At 50.6% G+C, this 18,081-nt stretch overlaps 2 protein-coding genes across 14 annotated transcripts in view, besides 4 other annotated features; one reads left to right on the top strand and one right to left on the bottom strand.

Moving 5' to 3' along the window:
• Window positions 1–3,695, bottom strand: part of CSMD2 (CUB and Sushi multiple domains 2) — a 651,845-nt gene extending 648,150 nt beyond the window's left edge. For 9 of the 12 annotated variants that reach the window (XM_047443666.1, XM_047443642.1, XM_047443607.1 and 6 more), the window contains exon 1: window positions 2,764–3,083. In XM_047443666.1, the coding sequence (XP_047299622.1) occupies window positions 2,764–2,950 (187 nt within the window). In that variant the 5' untranslated portion in view covers window positions 2,951–3,083. Of the gene's footprint in view, window positions 1–2,763; window positions 3,084–3,599 lie in introns of those variants that run through there. The other 3 variants (XM_047443685.1, XM_047443656.1, NM_052896.5) reach the window with 1 other exon arrangement.
• Window positions 984–1,113: an enhancer, noted in NCBI's record as "active region_710". NCBI's record gives its function as "activates an Ori minimal core promoter by ATAC-STARR-seq in GM12878 lymphoblastoid cells {active_cell/tissue: GM12878}" and the evidence as "EXISTENCE:reporter gene assay evidence [ECO:0000049][PMID:35858748]".
• Window positions 1,534–1,593: an enhancer, noted in NCBI's record as "active region_711". NCBI's record gives its function as "activates an Ori minimal core promoter by ATAC-STARR-seq in GM12878 lymphoblastoid cells {active_cell/tissue: GM12878}" and the evidence as "EXISTENCE:reporter gene assay evidence [ECO:0000049][PMID:35858748]".
• Window positions 4,846–18,081, top strand: part of C1orf94 (chromosome 1 open reading frame 94) — a 52,139-nt gene continuing 38,903 nt past the window's right edge. The window contains exon 1 of one of the 2 annotated variants that reach the window (NM_032884.5): window positions 4,846–5,024. Coding sequence is in view for 1 of the 2 variants with exons in the window: in NM_001134734.2 (NP_001128206.1) it covers window positions 15,643–15,962 (320 nt within the window). In the remaining variant the exon portion in view is untranslated. Of the gene's footprint in view, window positions 5,025–14,759; window positions 15,963–18,081 lie in introns of those variants that run through there. The other variant, NM_001134734.2, reaches the window with a different exon arrangement.
• Window positions 15,061–15,355: a silencer, noted in NCBI's record as "tiled region #230; HepG2 Repressive non-DNase unmatched - State 22:ReprW". NCBI's record gives its function as "represses a minimal TATA promoter and a strong SV40 promoter by Sharpr-MPRA in HepG2 cells {active_cell/tissue: HepG2}" and the evidence as "EXISTENCE:reporter gene assay evidence [ECO:0000049][PMID:27701403]".
• Window positions 17,070–17,570: an enhancer, noted in NCBI's record as "H3K27ac-H3K4me1 hESC enhancer chr1:34644818-34645318 (GRCh37/hg19 assembly coordinates)". NCBI's record gives its function as "activates a minimal SCP1, AML or CMV promoter by ChIP-STARR-seq in naive H9 embryonic stem cells {active_cell/tissue: H9 hESC(naive)}" and the evidence as "EXISTENCE:reporter gene assay evidence [ECO:0000049][PMID:30033119]".

An 18,081-nucleotide genomic window follows, 5' to 3' on the forward strand; every position in this document is an offset into this window, starting at 1 on the left:
GACAACAAAAGAGTGAAACTCCCTCTCAAAAAAAAAAAAAAAAAAAAGGGAGGATGATTGATAGGGACAGCAGGTAATTGGTGGGAAGTCTCCAGGGAGGCTGGGGTGGGGAGGGGGAGGGGGAGTGCAAGGCAGGACAAGGACTAAAGGGGTTGAGGGGAGAAGGTATGGGTGGGTGAGGAGACTCCCCTTTTTCAAACTATTTTATTCATTTATCCAGTGATCACTGAGCCGAGGAAGGGAGACGGTTCAGTCCTGAGCATCTTTTAAATTCAACAGTGTGAACTGAACACAAAATGAATGTGTTTCCCCTTCTAATGTACCAAATCCTGCCGATCTTCTGTCACCAAGTCCATTTCCAAATCTCTGCTGCCTGCAAGGCCAAACAGCCCATCTAAAGGCGGGAAAGGCTTAAAAAGAAATGTACTGGGCTGGGCGCGGTGGCTCACATCTGTAAGCCCAGCACTTTGGGAGGCAGAGGCAGGCGGATCACCTGAAGTCAGGAGCTCGAGACCAGCCTGGCCAACATGGTGAAACCCCATCTCTCCTAAAAATACAAAAATTAACCGGGCGTGGTGACGGTCGCCTGTAATCCCAGCTACTCGGAAGACTGAGGCAGGAGAATCGCTTGAACCCAGGAGGCGGAGGTTGCAGTGAGCTGAGACCGCGCCATTGCACTCCAGCCTGGGCGAGAAGAGCAAAACTCCGTCTTAAAAAAAATTTAAAAAGAAAGAGAAGAAAAGAAAAGAAATGTACTGGAAGCTTGCAAGCCAGAGCAGGGCCTGCCGGAGAGGAACTACCCCAAGCCATGAACACAAGGCCCCCTCCCCGCAACTTCTCTACTGAGCAAGGAGCTGCGAGCAAATGGATCTCTATAGGGCAGGATTCCAGCACCGCTGAGCGGTGCAAGCGCCGGTGAGTCGGCCTTTTTCTCTCCCCTAGGGGCAGGATATGCCCAAGGGGCAGGGACAAATCTAGCCAGAAAAACAATTCAGTCCGATGCCGAGACATTCTCCAATCAGCTAAGCCAGAGACCGGCCTCGCCTCAACGTACGTCCGGGAGGCCTGGCGGGAGGTAGCAGCGATTCCCCCACCGCCCATGTGGCAAGTCTGGGTGACCAGCAGCGTCGGTATGCACAGCCTCCCAGTGGGTGTGGGTGTGCGAGAGGCCAGAGCTCCCAGGCGCGCGCACCGCGGGCGCCCCTCTCTGGGTGTCGGTGGCTATGACTCTTAGCAGAACCTAAGAAAGTCCCGTCAGCTAGGAATGAGAGAGCCAGAGCTGGCTCGGGGCGCCCTCCCTGACCAAGAACCCCAACATGCCGCGGTTAAGCGGTGGGCGACACGGTCTGCGAGGACAGACTCACAAGACGCTGAAGGCCAGAGTGGGCCAGAGAGCTCGCCACTCACTGACCTGCCAGAGGAGAGGCGCACTTTCCCAAGAAGGGGAACTGGGGTGGTCCAGGCCAAGCCTTCAGAGGTTCAATCGGTGGTTTCAAAACAAAACAAAACAAAACAAAAACAAAAACAAAAAAGAAAACACGGCTCCAGGTCGAAGGTGCCCTAGGTCTAGGCCTGGCCAGCAGGTGTTTCGGTTTCTCCCCCAGTGGGTGTCAGCCTCGCGGGCTAAATGAAAATGCGGTTCCAGGCATCCCGGTTTGGACCCGTCTCCACCCGGGCACACGGAACTTTCTAGCTTGTAGCTAGAACTGAGCTTCGGAGGGGTGCTGTGGGTAAAGCGGGAGGGCACCAGTCGCGGCCAGTAGCCTCCACAGGGGACCGGGTTCCCTCGAAGGTTCGCGTACCTCCCCCGCGCGCTGCAAGCTGCAGCCAGACACCCGCGAAGTTCCGGGACTCTCCGCACCCGCTAGATCTGCCCCTTCCCGGACTCGGTCGTCGGGAGCTGGTCCCGCCGCCCGCGCCGCCGCTGCCGCTGCCGCAGCCGAGGCGCTCGGCTGCAGCAGGGCGCGGGAAAGGGCACTTTGGCGCGGAGTGAGCACCGAGGGGAATGTGGCAGCGCGAAGCCTGGCGGCGGCACTCCCTCCCCCGCCTCGGGCTACAACCCCCACCCCCTCCTTCCCATCCCTCAACACCCTCCAGCCCCCACCTGCACCCTCCTGCAAGGAATGCGCGGGACCCCCACCGTGGGCACGCGTCCACCTGAACCCCCTCCTAGCTCCGAGCGCCGAGGGAGGGGTAGCATTTGAGGAGGGGGATGGCGGCCGCAGTCTGCAGTCGGTTCCAGAGGGGGCACCGGTTTCAATTGGAGAAAATGGGCGGGGGCAGGGAAGGGCAGACCTTGCAGACGCAGAAATGGGGAGGGGGCGCACGGTTCCTCTCCAGCCCCCAGGACCAGCGTGCCTGGCAGAATCAGGAGCCGGGGGAGTAGGGCTCCCGGAAAGTTTATCGGGAAAAAGCCTAGCACCGTGGGGGCTGGGAGGCTGGAGAAACTGAAGCCACAGACCAGGTGCCCCGCAACCCCGGGCGGGGATGTCTGTCTCCCAGGCCCCCACACCGGCCGCATCCGTCCAAGTTGCGGCTGGGGTTGGGGCAGCAGTGAGGGTGAGGGTGGAGGTGAGGACGTGGCTGAGGGTGGGGTGGGAGACGGAGGCAGGGATGAGAATGAGAGTAGGCAACTGGGAGGGTGGGAGATTCAGGCAGGGATAGAGGCGGGGGGAGGGACTGGGACCGGGTCGAGGATGGGTGGGCTCGGGGCTCGGGTGGGGCGCGCGGCGGCCGCTGGCTCCTCGGCGCGGCTGGACTCACCCGCGGCGGCCGAGACGCTGAGCAACCCACAGCCCAGCAACAGCAGCAGAGGCGGCGGCGTTGGCGGCGGCGGGCGGCCCCAGCGGCTCCCGGCGCCCGGCACAAGCGCCGAAATCCCGGTTTCGCCGCGAGCCCTCCCCGCGGGGCAGCCGCAGCGCCCCAGCTCCCGTCCCCGCGAGCGCGGCATGGCGCGGCCGGCAGCGCCGAGGGAGAGGCTCCGCTCGCCGCCGAGGAGAAAGGAGGTCAGGAGAGCTCTGGAGCTTTTTTCTGCTCGGAAAAAATCCCGGTACGCGGGAGCCCTGAGCTTCTGCGGCTGGAATGAACCAAGTGTCCGCCCGGCCGGGGAGAGGCGCGCTGCGCTCTCGGAAATGACTCGCTCCAATCCCGCTTCGCGGGGTTCGCGCCGGGGGGCGGGAGGGGGTGAATTATCCCCGGATTAATCACTCCGGAGCCGCTTCTCCGCCGCTCCAAATGCTGGGGGTGGAGGCGCAGCTAAGGATAAAATATTGGGGGGCGGGGGTTCCTCTTCAGCGCCACCTCCACCTCCAGATAAACCACAAATTACATCTAAAGGGTTGTTTATCCGTGTCTGTTTTGCAATTGACCAGTTTCTTTTAAGTTCAGTCCTCCTGTTTTCATTTATAACATCACCCATTAATACACCCCCCTCTCCACACACACACACACAAACACACACACACACACACAGTGACAGAGACACACGCACTCACACACACAGGCACATACACGCACACCTCTTCCACGTTTGGAAATTGGAATCCTGTCTGGGAAAAGGTAACCAAAGAAGGACGCGTTCCCCAAGTCTTGGCTCTTACCAGCTGATCTTGGGTGGTGGCTTTGAACTTGCCATCTAGGGCCGGGGGCGATGCTTATGAGCCTCATTCACAATAGCCTCCTACCCCATCCCAGGAGAGGGGCGTGTGTGCGTAGACAGAGGCAGGGTTAAGAATTGGAGGGCGGTGGAGGGGGGTTGTGTGTGGGGTGGGGAGGGGGGGGAACCGGTTCATTTGACCCAGTGCGGTCCCACTCCTACCCTAAGACAAAAATCTCAGGGTGGCAGAGGCGGTCCCTGTGTGCACGCGAGTTGGGGGTGGGGAGTGAGGTTGGTGGAAGGACGGTGCAAGAGTTACTAGTACAATTTATCCCCAAATTTAAATAATCGGATCCTACTTCTTCTTCTCCCCTTCCTCCTCCCAGCCAAGGCCCCAAACCAAGAGAGTTCTTCCCAAGGACGTGAGCTGCTCCCCACCTCTCCCCAGTAGCGGCTGCCTCTAGGCCCCAAGGGCTTAGTGTCGGTCCCCACCCCATCCCCCACCCGACTCGGTCGCCGTCTCTGTCTCGTCTACTCCAGGCTTCTCCGCCAGTCACGATGGCTCCTTCGCTGTCTACGCCAAACTCTCGGCGAGAGGGAAGAGACGCTTCATGGGGGGAGGCTGGAGGAAACTGGGAGGGGCAAGGTCCAGAGAGGAGGCTTCTGCTGGCGCGTGCAGTGGAAAGGCACCTGCGATGGGCACCCCCGCCCCCTTTGCCGACACACCCCAGAGAAGCTGTGCTCCGGGCTTAGGGCAGCCTGATTTGGCCAAAACGGAGCGTTGGCATCTGTGTGGCCAAGGGGGCAGTGGCCGGCGGGCGGTGGGGCCTGAGAATTTCCGGGGAAGGGTGTGGAGAGGGACTGTAGGGATGGCGAGCCAGGCTGGGGGTGGCTGGCGACCCAGGTTGGCCGGCTGTCAGCGTGGCCAGGAATTTCCATCCAAGGAAGGGTGTGAAGAGGGGCTGTGGAGTTGACGATATGAATTGGGGGGCGGGGGCAGGGCTGGAGGAGTGGAGGCTTGTCCCTACTCCCCATGAAAAACTTCCTCCCCAGAGCCACGCTTTCGCAGCCTCCTAGATGCCACTCTTCCTCCCTCCCCCCACCCCAAGTTGTTCCGGTTTCCCTGCATGAGCTCATCCCACAGCTGGGGAGCCAGCCCGGTGGCCCTGGGCGGGCGAATCTCCTCAGAATCGCGGGCCTGGTCCCCACCCCCAACACGCTTGTATGCCCGCCCCTCCCGACGCCGCCTTGCTGGGTGCCAAGAACCAACCGAAGCAGCCAGAACTCCTCAGTGAAAGGCCTGCTTTATGTTCCCGGGGCAGTGAGGAGGGGGCTTCTCCCTTCCCATTGTCCAGACTCAGCCCCCGAAAGAGAGGGCTCAGCCTTCCCACCAGCCCTGGAGAGGAGGAAGGGACTGACTACGCCAGCAGTGAGTGGTGGTGGTGGCCTTGGGGGCTGTTAGCTGGGCTTGCCTGGGGGTGGGCTCCTGGCTTCTAAGCTCCGACTTTACCCCTCTCTTGGAGGCGGGGTTCTCCTCCAGAGAAAGGAACTGGCAGAGATGCCCAGGCCTCCTGTGCAGCCCACAGCTGGGCAGAAGAGAGTCTGGGCTGCTCTGTAATTCTGGGGCTGCAGGCCAATGGGCTTTCTCTTACCCTCTTCTCAGCTCCAGAACTTTGCTCTGTGGCTGCAACGGGCAGATGAGATTTACCCCCAGAACTTTCCCGGGCAAAAGGAGCGTTTGTCATCCTTCTCCCTGGGGGCTGTGGAGGGCAGGGCACCTATTTTATCCCTGCAAAAGGCCCAGTTACTCACATCCTCCGCCATTCCTGCTCTCTGATCTATTTGGGTCCACGTGCTTTCACTGAGCGCCTCCTGTGCTCGGGGGCCCTGAGCGAGGCTGTGCTCTGGGCCCTGCAGAGATGCACAGTGTGTGGTCCTGCTTTGGGAGGATGCAGGCCAGAGGTGGAAACCCACACGTAACTGATACCGTCAGACAGCGATAATCACCATGACTGAAGAACCGGCATGCTACCGAGAGGCATGTCAAGACAGTGAGCTTTTCCTGGACTTGGGGGATCAGAAGGCTAATTTAAGAAGGAAAGTAGGATTTGGTCTGGAACCTGAGACATGGATAAAGACCTTGAAAAGATGAAGATTCATTTACTCAACAAATATTTATTGAGCATCATTATGTGCCTGGGTGCTGTGCTAGACAATGAATATACACCTAGTGCACAGTCCCTGACTTGATGAAGGCAGAAAATATGTATACAAATACACATAAAGTTACTAATTAAGGATGCTACAAAAGGAAAGTTTATGGTGCTAGGAGAAACAATATGGGGATGTGCTTTAAGGAGATGGTCTGAGAAGGCCTCTCTGAGATGGCAACGGTGGAAGATGGGATCTAAAATTAAGCAAGATGCTCAGGAGGCTAAAGCCAGAGGATCATTTGAGCCCAGCTGTTCAAGGCTGCAGTGAGCCATGATCACACCACTGCACTCCAGCCTGGGTGACAGAGCCAGACTATCTGTCTATGAATTAATTAATTAATTAATTAATATAATAATAGAATTAAGCAAGGCAGCCATGCAAAGTTGGGGAAAGAGCTTTTGGTATAGTGAGCACAGGCAAGGCTGTAAAAAGGAAAGGGGGCCAGGAGGAGGAGGATGGGGCTGGATCCAGGTAAGCAATGGGAGATAGGGAGTGGGGCAGATCACATAGGGTCTATTAGGGGATGGCGAGGAGTTTGCATTTTATTCTTAGCCAGTGAGAAATAGAAGGTGTATTAATTTGCTAGGACTGCTGCCACAACAAAGTACCATAGACCCTGTGGCTTAAAAAACAGAAATGTATTGCCTCACAATTCTGGAGGCTGGAAGTCCAAGATCAAGAGGTCGACACAGTTGGTTCCCTCTGAGGCTTCTCTCTCTGGCTTGTAGATGGCTGCCTTCTTCTCCCTGTGTCCTCACATGTGTTCCCATGGTACATATCTGTGTCCAAACTTCTAATCAGGACACCAGTCATACTGGATTAAGGCCCAACCCAATGACCTCATTTTGACTTAACTGACTTTTTAAAGACTCTACCTCCAAATAAGGTCACATCCTGAAGTACTAGGGGTTCGGACTTCAACCTATGAATTTGGGTGGGGGGGCACACAATTCATTCTATAACAGGAGGAGATGACTTTTCAGATGGAGGGAGGAGAGAGATGCTTGACAGTCAGAAAATATATGTAAAGAGATATCTGTTTACATTTATTTTCTGTGTATAGCATGGCTCCTTTAGTGAAAAGTAGACAGCTCTGAATATGAAAGGTAGGTTTTCATTTCTGGGAAAGAGACGCCAAGTGATGTGGCCTGACATATACTCTAACTTCTCTGTGAGGAAAGGGTAAGAAAGGAAAGGGTACCACTTAGAAGACTACTGCAATAGTCTGAGCCAGGAAACATGGGGGCAAAGGCAGAGATGGGGACCCTGGAAACATCTGCAGGGCAATGGAGAGGCAGGAGTCAAAGACATAACAGCCTACCCGCATCTAGCCTAGGAGAGTGTGGGTCTCAGCCCAGCCCCAAGTGCTGGCTCCCTGCCTGCCCCTCTCATTCTCCCTGTGAGCAACAGGCAGTCGTGGGTTGAGGTGTCTTTACAATATCACATTGCAAAAAAGCCCAATGCAGTCTAGTGACTAGCCAAGATAAGCCTAATATCCAGATAAAATCAGAGTTTGATTTAGAAAGAATACAAGGCCTGATGCTCTGGAGAACTCTGCCTCATTCAAGGAGGAGCTGTAGACTTGATGCCCTGAAATTTTCATTCTGACCCAGGAAAAGATCAAAAAGCCTTCTGAAGCTGAGAGAGAGAGAGAGAGAGAGAGAGAGAGAGAGAGAGAGTGAGCAAATGGGAGATTCTAGCAATGCGAGGGCAGAAATAGAGGCCAAGGGGCAGGCAGGGCTGCAGAGAAGGGCTACAGGACAAAGATGGGCTCAGAGGAAAAGCTTAGGATCCCAAATGGGGCACAATTTTAAAATCATGAGCATGATCAGGCCAAAGCGAGTATCTCCCAAGGGCGAGGCTATCACCATAGAGGTGGCAGTGATCTGCTGCCCAAGGAGTGGCGACAGAGGGGCTTCATGAGGAAAAAGCCCAGACCACACCAAGGTGAGGCTGTGGGCTTCTGAAACCAGGAGGGAGAAGTGAGAAGGGGCCCACAGCCTAGGCCATTCCTCTAGTGCTACCACATGCTGTGGTCACCAAATTCTGACATTCTTGGTGAAAATTCTTCATTTGTGTATAAGGAAAAAGAGTTCATGCCAGTGACAAAACAGGGTGTTAAGCCATTGAAATATTGGAGTTTGTTACAGCAGCTAGCAATACTTTTATGCAGGCTTGCTCATTTTTTGCATAGTATCTTGTGTAGTCATTCACTTACTCTTCACTTACTCTTTCATTCATTTGTTCATGCCACACTGAGCTGCATGTCAGAGTCTGTGCTAGGTGTTGAGGAAACAAATATAAAGAAGAATAAGACATTCCCATGGCCCCTGTCCTCAGGGGGTTGAGAGTTTATTGAGAACAGCGTTAAACAGCAAAGCATGATTGATTACTCCAGAAGAGATATAGCATGTGATGGAAATAAGAAGGGCTCCTAGCTCAGCCTATGGGAAAGGGCAGGTGAGAACCAGCACTTTCTAGGAAGAAAGCACAGAGTGGGCCAGCTCAGGGAGGGAGGACACAGTGTGTAAATCTGCAGCACTCACAGGGTACCAAGGAAGGGTGTGGGGTGGAAATAGACCTCTCTTCTGACTCAACAGTCTCTCCATAATTGCTGGCTTTCTTATTTGTCCCTGCTGGTGGATGGGCAACTCTAGGATGGAAACCTCTTTTCTCCCAAGTCCCAGGGTCTGTATTGTATCTGGCATTCTCTCTCCTCAGATGTCTCATAGGAGCCCCACCCCACCCCTTCCACCACAGCCTGCTCAGACCTGGGCTTATCCACTTCTAGTTCTCCACCCCAGCCTGCCTCTCTGCTCAGCTCCCCAATTCAGGGAACAGTTTCCACATCCACCCAGATCCTGAGCCAGAAACCTATTTATCCTGGACTCCCATCTTGCCCAGTCCCCACATCAAGCCATCACTGAGCCCTCCAGATTCTGCCTCCTAGACACCTCCCAGATTCTAACCAGAGTCCACAATGGCTATGTTTCAGGTTACTTACAACAACTGAGTAACAAGTGCCCATCTCTGCTCTTGCCCTATTCAATGCATCTTCCTCTCTGCCACCAGCTATCTTTTTAAAACACTCACCTGATTTCACAGCTCCTCTGTCTTCCCCGGACTTTCCCCTATGGCCTACAGAGTAAAATCCAAGCTCCCTGCTAGACCCTCCCTACAAGAGCCCCCATCATCTGTCCCTGCCAGCCCCTCTAGCCTCAGATCTCCCTATTCCCAAATCCCTCAGCTCTAAGCCATTCTGACACCCTTGCACTCTTGCAATGAGCCATGCTTTCTCTCCCCTTTCCCCTGGATCCTTCTGTGTTTTGTTCTCTCTGCCTAGAAAGCTTCCCTTCTCCTTCTGTGACTAGCCTTCTCCTATTTGCCCTTCAAAATTCAGTCCAGGTGACAGTTCTTACAAGCAGTATTTGTCAGTGCCATTCAGAGTGCCTGGTACATGGTGAACATTCAGGGAATTTTTGCTGGATGAATGGATAAACAGATGGATGGATGGATGGATGAATGGATGGTTAAGTAGGTGCTCAGTACTGTTTGTGGAATGGACCCAAAGGTATCTCTTCTAGACTTCATTATTTGAGTTCCTTAAAGAAATGCCTCCACTGAGTTATGATTTAATGTTATGCTGTCTTCAGAGAACCCTGATGCGAGAAACTGACGAACCTAACAGCATCTCTGTCTTTTATGAAAACAGAATTGCATATATTGCCCACTATGTCACTCAGTGTCCTTTATACAAGGACTCATGATAAATTCATGCTTGGGGTTATTTCCTGGAAACATTTTGTCTCTGCAGATGAAGATGTGTATTTTCTGCTGTCAGAAAACAAAAACTCTGCCACCCGACGTGTTTCCATTTTTGCTTTAGCTGACAAATAAGGATACCCAGTTTTATTGCCTTATTACCTCCATGAGGCCTGACCAGTTCGGGTGCTGGAAAGTAGCAACTGTTTCTGTTTTCCTTAGAGTCAGTTCTTCCTTTATTCTTTGATGCTGTAGTTTGTACTTTTTAATCTGAAAGCTGCCTCAAATCATCTCAGCAGTAAGGTAGAAGAAGTCTTAAGTGAATGCATTTTAGTGACCAATGTCCCGGCATGGAAGCTATGGAAGGAAGGGCAAAATATAAAGCTTCTAGCTGAAGGGTTTCCCATAAAGGGCCTCGCCAGGAATCCTTGGCATACCTATCACTACTGGGGTCTGGCAGAAAAACCAAAGCAGGAGGAAAGCCAGCTGAATTCTGACTTTGTTTCTACCTCACTGGACCACTACTGCCACCACCATATTCTTTTATTCTGTCATCTAGGACCTTCCTTTTCCCTAACTTTAAGTGGAGATCTCATAGGCTGCCATTTTTACATTGCTAGGCTCTCAATAACAATAGCTAGTGATAATCATAATTACACATTTCTTTTTATTGAGAGTTTACCATAAGCCAGGCACTGTGTTGAGAAGTTCACGTGCATTTCCATATTTAAACCTTCTTCCTACCCCAAACCTATTGTTTTTACAACTTTGCAGATGAAGAAATGTCAGAGAAGTTAAGTATATACAAAGCCACCTTTATCAAGTAGTAGAGTAGGAATTCCAATTCAAGTGTGTCAGCTGCCACCACCCGAGCTCTTAACTGCCTCCTCTCATGTGGGCAAGGAACAAGGCAATAGTAAGGGAAAAACCCCCAAGAAATGGCAGAGATCACCGATGGTGTTGCCAGGAGAGAGAAGCCACAGAGTCACAGCTTTGCTTGCAGAATATTCAAGGTTCCTTTTCAAAGTCCTAGAAATGGCTGGCTGCTCTGCAGCCCTGTCCTGTTGCTGAGACAACATGAGGGGGAGGCCCATTCCCATGAAACATGGCTGCAACCTCCTCTTCCTTTAGCTGTGATGGTTAATTCCCCAAGATATTTGCCTGGGATACTCCTATGCATGGATCCTGCCTCTGGGCAGTTTGACCCATTGAGCATTATTCGCATGGGAATGGGGGTCCCTCTGGGTTTTAGGGACCTACAAAAGCGTTTGAGTCCTAAATATTTTATGATTAGTCCCACAATACAAAGAAGAAAACTGCCACATGGAAATCAGTAAATATTTAATTAAATGCAGAGTATAACATTATGTCAACTTCATTAACTGTTGGATTTAGTAGTCATAAAAATTTCATTGCATTTGGTAACAATTTGTAGGTTGGAGTTTTCTCACTGCACAAGATTTCTCGAGTAGGCACTAAGATTGGTGAGAAATCACAGCCCATCACAAATTAAATAAATTACTCATGGCCAAAAACTTTCAAAAGCAAAATGGCAAAAATCCTTTCAATTTTCCTCTATAGCCAAAAAGTTATTTTTATGGTGAGAGGTGGGTGTGTTTAAAATATGTTAGATGAGGAACCTAAAAGGACCTACAAGAGTAAGCAGCCTTAGGGGCTATATGATGATTGTAAAAGAGCCTAGGCCATTCCCACGTTTCTGAGTTTTCCAGCCTAGCCATGTTTGTGTCAGAGATGAAAGCCAGATGAGAAGAGGCTTTGACTGGATGGGAGGTAAGGAGAATTGCCTCCTCCTTAGGCCTTCCTGGTTCCACAGAGAAAAGCTAAGAATCCCAGAATTCTAAATAATGATAGCCAACATTCACTGGATACATACATTAGCCAAGCTATTATAAGCACTTTACATGTATTATTTCATTATCGTAAAACAAGTCTATGAGGTCAGTATTTTATTGTCTCTGTTTCATAGATGAGCAAATGGAGACATTGAGGTTAAACCAACCTGCCCAGGGTAATGTAAGTAGTCAGGGGGAATTCAAGAAGTTTTCCAAGCTAAAAATAATTTACAGATTAAATGGTGTCCATGACCATTAAATGCTTCACTTTAAACTCTAAAAAAGACAGAGACCAAACTCCTCTTCTTCACTACTCTATCTTCAGCACCTCAAACAGTGCTGGGCATAGATACATGTGTTGGAGGAACATAACTCCATGTTGGATGGAAACTGGAATAAGTCAGTTTATATCACACTGCTCTGCACCAGGCACTTATGGAATGCTTTGCCCCGCCTCTGTCACTAGGTGATTCTGTCTAGGGTAGACATCTTTTTCATCATCTCTAATCCCTGTGTCTTTCACAATTTTGACCCATGATGGATGCTCAAAAATGAACAAAGCCTGGAAAGGCGTAAGTGATTATGTGAATTCGTTTCTCCATCACAGAACAACTTCCCCAGTACAACACAATTCTCCCTCTCTACACAAAACACAAAAGCTGCTATTCAGAAACTCCAAAGGCATGCATTTCAGTGTAATCAACAAGCAAACAACTGTATAACACGTTTATCTGTCAGTTGTTGTTCAAGGGACTTTCCATGTGTTAAGCAATTGGTTAGTAATAGAACATCTGTAGTAATTCTACAAAGCAAGTATTCTTCATTATCATCCCATTTTACAGACTAAGAAATCAAATGTTGTGGGCTGAATTATATGCTGCAATCCTAAACCAAATACCTCAGATGTGACTGTATTTGGAGATGAGTCCTTTAAAGAGGTAGCTAAGATTAAAAAAAAGAAAAAAGCCATTAGGGTGTGTCCTAATCTAATATGACTGGTGTCCTTTAAAGGAGTGATTAGGACAGGGACACATATACAGGGAAGACCATGTGAGGACATAGGGAGAACACAGCCAAGTGCAAGCCAGCGAGAGAGACTTCAGAGTGAAACTAACAATGCCAACATCTTGGTCTTGGCCTTCTAACCTCTAGAATGGCAAGGAAATAAAATTCTGTTGTTTAAGCCACACAGTCTGTGGACTTCGTTATGGTAGCCCTACCAAACTAATACACCAAGGCACAGAGTAACTTGCCTAAGCTTACATTGCCAGAAAACGTGAACTCAGAATCTGAACCCAGGGACTCTGGTTCCCGAGAATATGTATTTAATGATAAGAAATGTTCTCTGTGCTGTCCAATATGGTAGCCACTAGCCATATGTGGCTACTGAGCACATAATATGTGGCTAATGCAAATGAGGAGCTGAATTTTTCATTTAATTTATATAAAAATAAAGTTAAAATTAAAACAACCCCATGTGGCTAGTGGCTACCATATGGACATAGCTTTATACTATTTCTAAGTACATCACTTAAGATTTTTGCAGAATTTTCTAGAAATCTCGTCTGTGCACTCTAAAAACATGCTCTATCTTTGTTCCGTATCCCTGCTGTATTTGATTTTTTTTTTTTTTTTTTTTGCAGTCCTTTCTGATTTAGCCCCCGTTGCCTGGTCTCCTGCTGAGGGGGAGAGGGAACAGGAAGAGTGAGTGAGCTGGCTAACTTCCAGAATCCTGGGGCCTGGGCAGTGCAGGGTCGTTGGCGTTCTGCTCTAAGCTTAAGGTGTTAGCCAACCAAATGCCAAGCAGCACAAACACTGAGTGACATTTTCAGAACTATTAATATTTCATCAGAAATGATCACTTTTCCTTTAAATACACTATTTTAAAAGGTTTTCTACATTCTTAACTATAATTTTATTCAGTCTAGGCCCTCAGAATTTTCCCCAAAGGAACACATCTTCAATTTTGTAATGAAAATCAAAGGAGAATGAAGCTCAGATTTCAAAATTTAGAGTAAACATTTCCAGGAACTCAGCCCCTCTGTAAAGAGCAAGGTTGCGTATTGGGCACCTACTGTATACCAGGCACTTTACATACAGTATACCATTAATTCATCCAACACATATTTTTTGAGTGCCTACTATGTGCCAGAAACATGATCCTCATAATTTATTAACACCATTTTACAGAAAAGGAATTCCTCTCATCCTTCTCAAATTTTTCTCCTCAAAGAAGTCGGCCTGGACCACCATGGAATATTGCCTCCCCTCTTCTCCCCAGTGCCTCACTTTGTTACTAGGTTGGTACAAAAGTAATTGTGGTTTTTGCCATTGCAAGTGATGGCAAAAACCGCAATTACTTTTGCACCAACCTAATAGTTATTTTCCATCAGAGTCCCATTGCATCTGTAATTATTGCTGCTTTACTCGCTTGGCTGGTTTGCATCGATCTCTCCTCGCTAGTATACAGGCTCCAGGAGAGCAGGGACCATGCCATTTTTGCCCACCCTTATGCTTCTTCAGTGCCCAGCAACTCATCGGGCACAGAGGAGGGGTTGCATCAGTACTGGGGGAATTATGAATGGGGATGGGAGAAGTTCAGAAAGTTCTTAAGGTCACACAGCTCGGAAATGAGTGTCAGGATTCAACCCAGCCCTGCATTTATAGACTGCCATCTTCCTCTATTTGTGTCCATTCTTCTTTCTTCCGTCTCCACCCTCTTGCTTTTCCTTTTCAGGGGAATTGCTAGAGAAGCAACCCCCTGACTCTCGGAACCAGAAAGTCTCCCTCAGCAGAGGTACTGTGTCAGTGCCCAATTGAATGAAGCCGCTTCAGTGAGGGTAGGGGCCTGTTGATCAGCAAACAGCTAACTTAGCCCTTCTCCCTGCACCTCGGACCTCCTACTCCTGCTCCTACCCACCTACTGAAGCTGTCTCAGTGGTCAAGGGCTAGATCAGGCCTAGAGTGCTGGGGTCTGAGTCTCAGCTTCCCTTTTCTCAGGGGGCCTTGGACGCAATCCCTTATGACTTTGAGATTCGCTTTCCTCCCGTGTAGAACGATAATAAAAAGTGGTACTAATTTCACGAGCTTTAATAGGATTGAATGTGAGCCCAGCGCTTGGCACAGGGCAAGCGCCCCATAAAATGGCAGTTAGGATTAAAATCGAGGTTGCCGGGGGACCCCCAGGCAGGAGCTGAGATTTGTGTGGAGCGGCGAAGTGGGGCGGCGGCGCGTTTGGCTTTGACTTCTGATCCCCCGAAGCGCTCTGGGGTCCTTTGGGCCCCACCCCCACCCACCCCACCGGCGGGTCTTGGGCTCCGAACCCAGGGCGCCCCGCGCACCGAGCCGTTGCGTTTGAAACCCACAGAAAGAATTCCCCCGCTCGACGACGGCGAGGGTGTGGGAGCTACTGGCAGGCAAATTGGTGGGAGCCGCCCGGCCCAGCCTGCCTTGCCGAGTCAGCGCGCTCTTGAGCCGCTGGGCCCTTCCCGGTGCCCGCCTGGCAGCGCGGCGCGGCTGGGGCAGGGGTCTGCTGGGGGCCGGGGACTAAGGGCTGTGGGCCCATCCACACACGCCTCATCCCTTCTTTCCGGGGGCAGCAGAGCAGCAGCGGGAGACCGGGAGCAGGAGGGGTAGGGCGAGAGAAAAGCAGGACCTGGGCCGGGGGTGGGAGTCGGGCCGTTGACGCTCGCTCTGCGAGGGGCTCCCTGGGAACGCCCAGGCGAGCGCCTCCTGCGGGGCCCCGCCCCCCGAGTGCCTACAATGGTGCCAGGCCCGCACCCAGTCCTCCGCGTGGCTTAGCGGGACAGCATGGGCTGAGCCCAGGCGCCGAAAGTTGTCACGGCGGCGTCGCAAGGGGGCAGTGCCAGGGACTGTGGGGAGAGCCAGCCCTCCCCTTCCAGCTGTTCCCAGATGTCATTCTGCCCGCCCAGGCGCCTGGTTCCTGAGCTCCGCAGCATTCCACTGTTCCTAAGCTACTGGTTTTTGTTGACTTTTAAATATTTTCTTCTAAGGGAGAGGGGGAGGGAGGCAAAAGTCAGGAAAGAGCAAATAAAAACAAATCAAAATAAGCCCTCCCCTCCCCAAAAGAAAGCTGTCCTCCACCCACCCCTCCCACACAAATAGAAGGCCTCTGAACCTAACCACCTTGCTGGAGCGAAAGCCAGACAGAACTGACCCACTTCTGCCAAGCCCCATCCTCATCTCCCTTTCTGGTGAATGAGGGGTGGTGGTGGTTGTGTTCTAGCCCTGGGTGGACAGAGGGGCTTCCAGAAAGAGAGGAGGAGGATGGCCAGCGGGAATGGGCTTCCTTCATCCTCGGCCCTGGTGGCCAAGGGCCCCTGCGCCCTGGGCCCATTCCCCAGATACATCTGGATCCACCAGGACACACCCCAAGACAGCCTAGACAAGACTTGCCATGAAATCTGGAAGAGAGTTCAAGGCCTGCCTGAGGCCTCACAGCCCTGGACCTCCATGGAGCAGCTCTCTGTCCCTGTGGTTGGAACTCTAAGAGGCAATGAGCTCAGCTTTCAAGAAGAGTAAGTACCCCCCTACTCCATTGGCAGCAAGGGAGGAGGGAGGAGATGAAGTCTGACCTTCTGGGGGAATGTTCTGGCCCACTGTTGAGGCTGGTGAAACCCTAAAGGCTGTATATTGCCCCCTCCATGGTCCTTTGTCCAAGCTTTATAGAAGAGCTGACCAAAGTTCTGAAGTTTTGTGGGTGAAGAGTCAGATTAGGGCTATATTCCAGGCTGCCTCTTCACCAGCCCGTTAAGCAGACATTTCTCATCCTAAACGCATGTGAATCTGAGGTCCTTGAAAAACCACCCTAGCTAAGGCTAAGGGTTATATGGCTTGTGGCTTTCCCCAGAAGCAACTAGAAGATCCTTCCCCTCTCCCACCTAAAGGCTAGGCATTCACATGGATGAGTCTGATGGTTTTAAATCACATCTGGAATTCCCTAATACAGGGAGCAGCTGTCCCATTCAGCCTCCACAGAAGCTGCTGCAAGAGCACACATCAAAATATTTACTGGGAAGGCACTGACATATTCAGAGGACATAATAGAAAATTAAAGTGCGGGAAGATGGCTGTAAATAGCCCGTTTCCGGGATGGGAAATCCTGTGTCTGGGAAACACAGAGCTAAGTGTTTCTCCATCAGGGCAAAGTTGGGCAGATATTGTTGAGGATGGATATTCGAAAGGAAAGGAAGGAGCAGAGAGGAAAAAGGGAAATTAGGAAAAGAAAGTAAATCTGCTGTGGTTATTAATACCGCCGTTGAGCACTTACTTATTTCACGTTTTGCATCTTCAAAGTGGACTGTAAACTTAATTAATGTTCCCAGAGTCCCTGTGAGGCAGGTATTAGTGTCCCCATTTTACAGATGGATTAAGTGTTAATAATTAAGAGCTAATTAAAGACTAACCGATAATTAAGTGTTGCCTGCTCCAACACATGCTACAGCTCAGTTCAGAGATGCTCTGGAGTTGGGGAGCCATTCAGGCATTTATCAGCTGCCTCGGGTTTCAGGGATGCCTAAGCAAGAGCTAAGAAGAAAAGCAAAGTGTAAATGACACCCAGCTCTACACTACCTGCTGTCCCTCTGTGGGCTCATTTACTTACTGCAGATGAAGGTGGAAGGCACTTTGGCTAGTCCTGCCTCCCTGCCCTGTGCTCAGCATGACAAGGCTCAGACAGGAATGGCCCATCTACAGCTAAAATCCTGCTGTCAGGCCCTTCAGTGGCACTGAGCCCTTCTCCCCTGCTCATTGCCATCTGCTCTGGGACAGGGCCTTGGCAGGAGGGCCCATGGGGCTGTGCTCTGCTCTCAATGGCCAAGAAGCTGATTGTCCACTTTGTGGACCAAGGGTCAGTAGCAATTTCCAGTAGATGGCATCCTCTTTGCCAGGTCACACAGAGTTAATGGAGACAGACTCGACTTCCAGTCTGCACTTGGCTGAAAATTGAACTGGTGCACCTTTGGCCAGCTGCTTAACTCCATTTGGCCTTTACTTCCTCATTTGCAAATTGAGGGTGATATGTGCTGCCTTGTCTACCTCAGAGTTGATAATGAGGATCCAATGTGATGGGAGACAGGGAAATGAAAGATGCATTATACAAATCAGGCTGCTCTTAACATGTACTTCTTCAGGTTGGGATTTGTTGTTGTTGTTGTTGTTTTTGTTGTTGTTGGCTTCAATCTGGGGTTCACACTATGCTCCATATACCTCAAGGTGCTTCAGGGGTCACTGTGGAGTCAAGTGGGCTGGTTGCTGGGCCCCAAAATCCATTTCAGCCAGAGCTGTTTAGCTTTTATCAGTTTTACTTACTAGAGTTCTGAGTAGGGCTGAATTTGAAAAACATGTTTCTGCTATTGAGAAAAGAGATAGGAAACCAATGACTTAGACGAATAAACGACATCCTAATTGTCAACCAAATAGAACACAATGAGCTATTCTTAAAATAAAGGCGGTGTGCTGGTGGAGTCAGATAACTCTGGTTTCAGATTCCATTTCAGCCCCATGCCATTTGAAGAATTTGTTACTCTTTAATTTATCTAAACTTTGGTTTCCTCATCTGCCAAATGGAGATTAATACTATACATTTTGTAGGGTTGTTGGAATGATTAAATGGGATATTTAAACATTTATGGTAAT

This window comes from Homo sapiens, chromosome 1 (genome assembly GCF_000001405.40).
Source record: "Homo sapiens chromosome 1, GRCh38.p14 Primary Assembly".
Classification (NCBI taxonomy): Eukaryota; Metazoa; Chordata; class Mammalia; order Primates; family Hominidae; genus Homo; species Homo sapiens.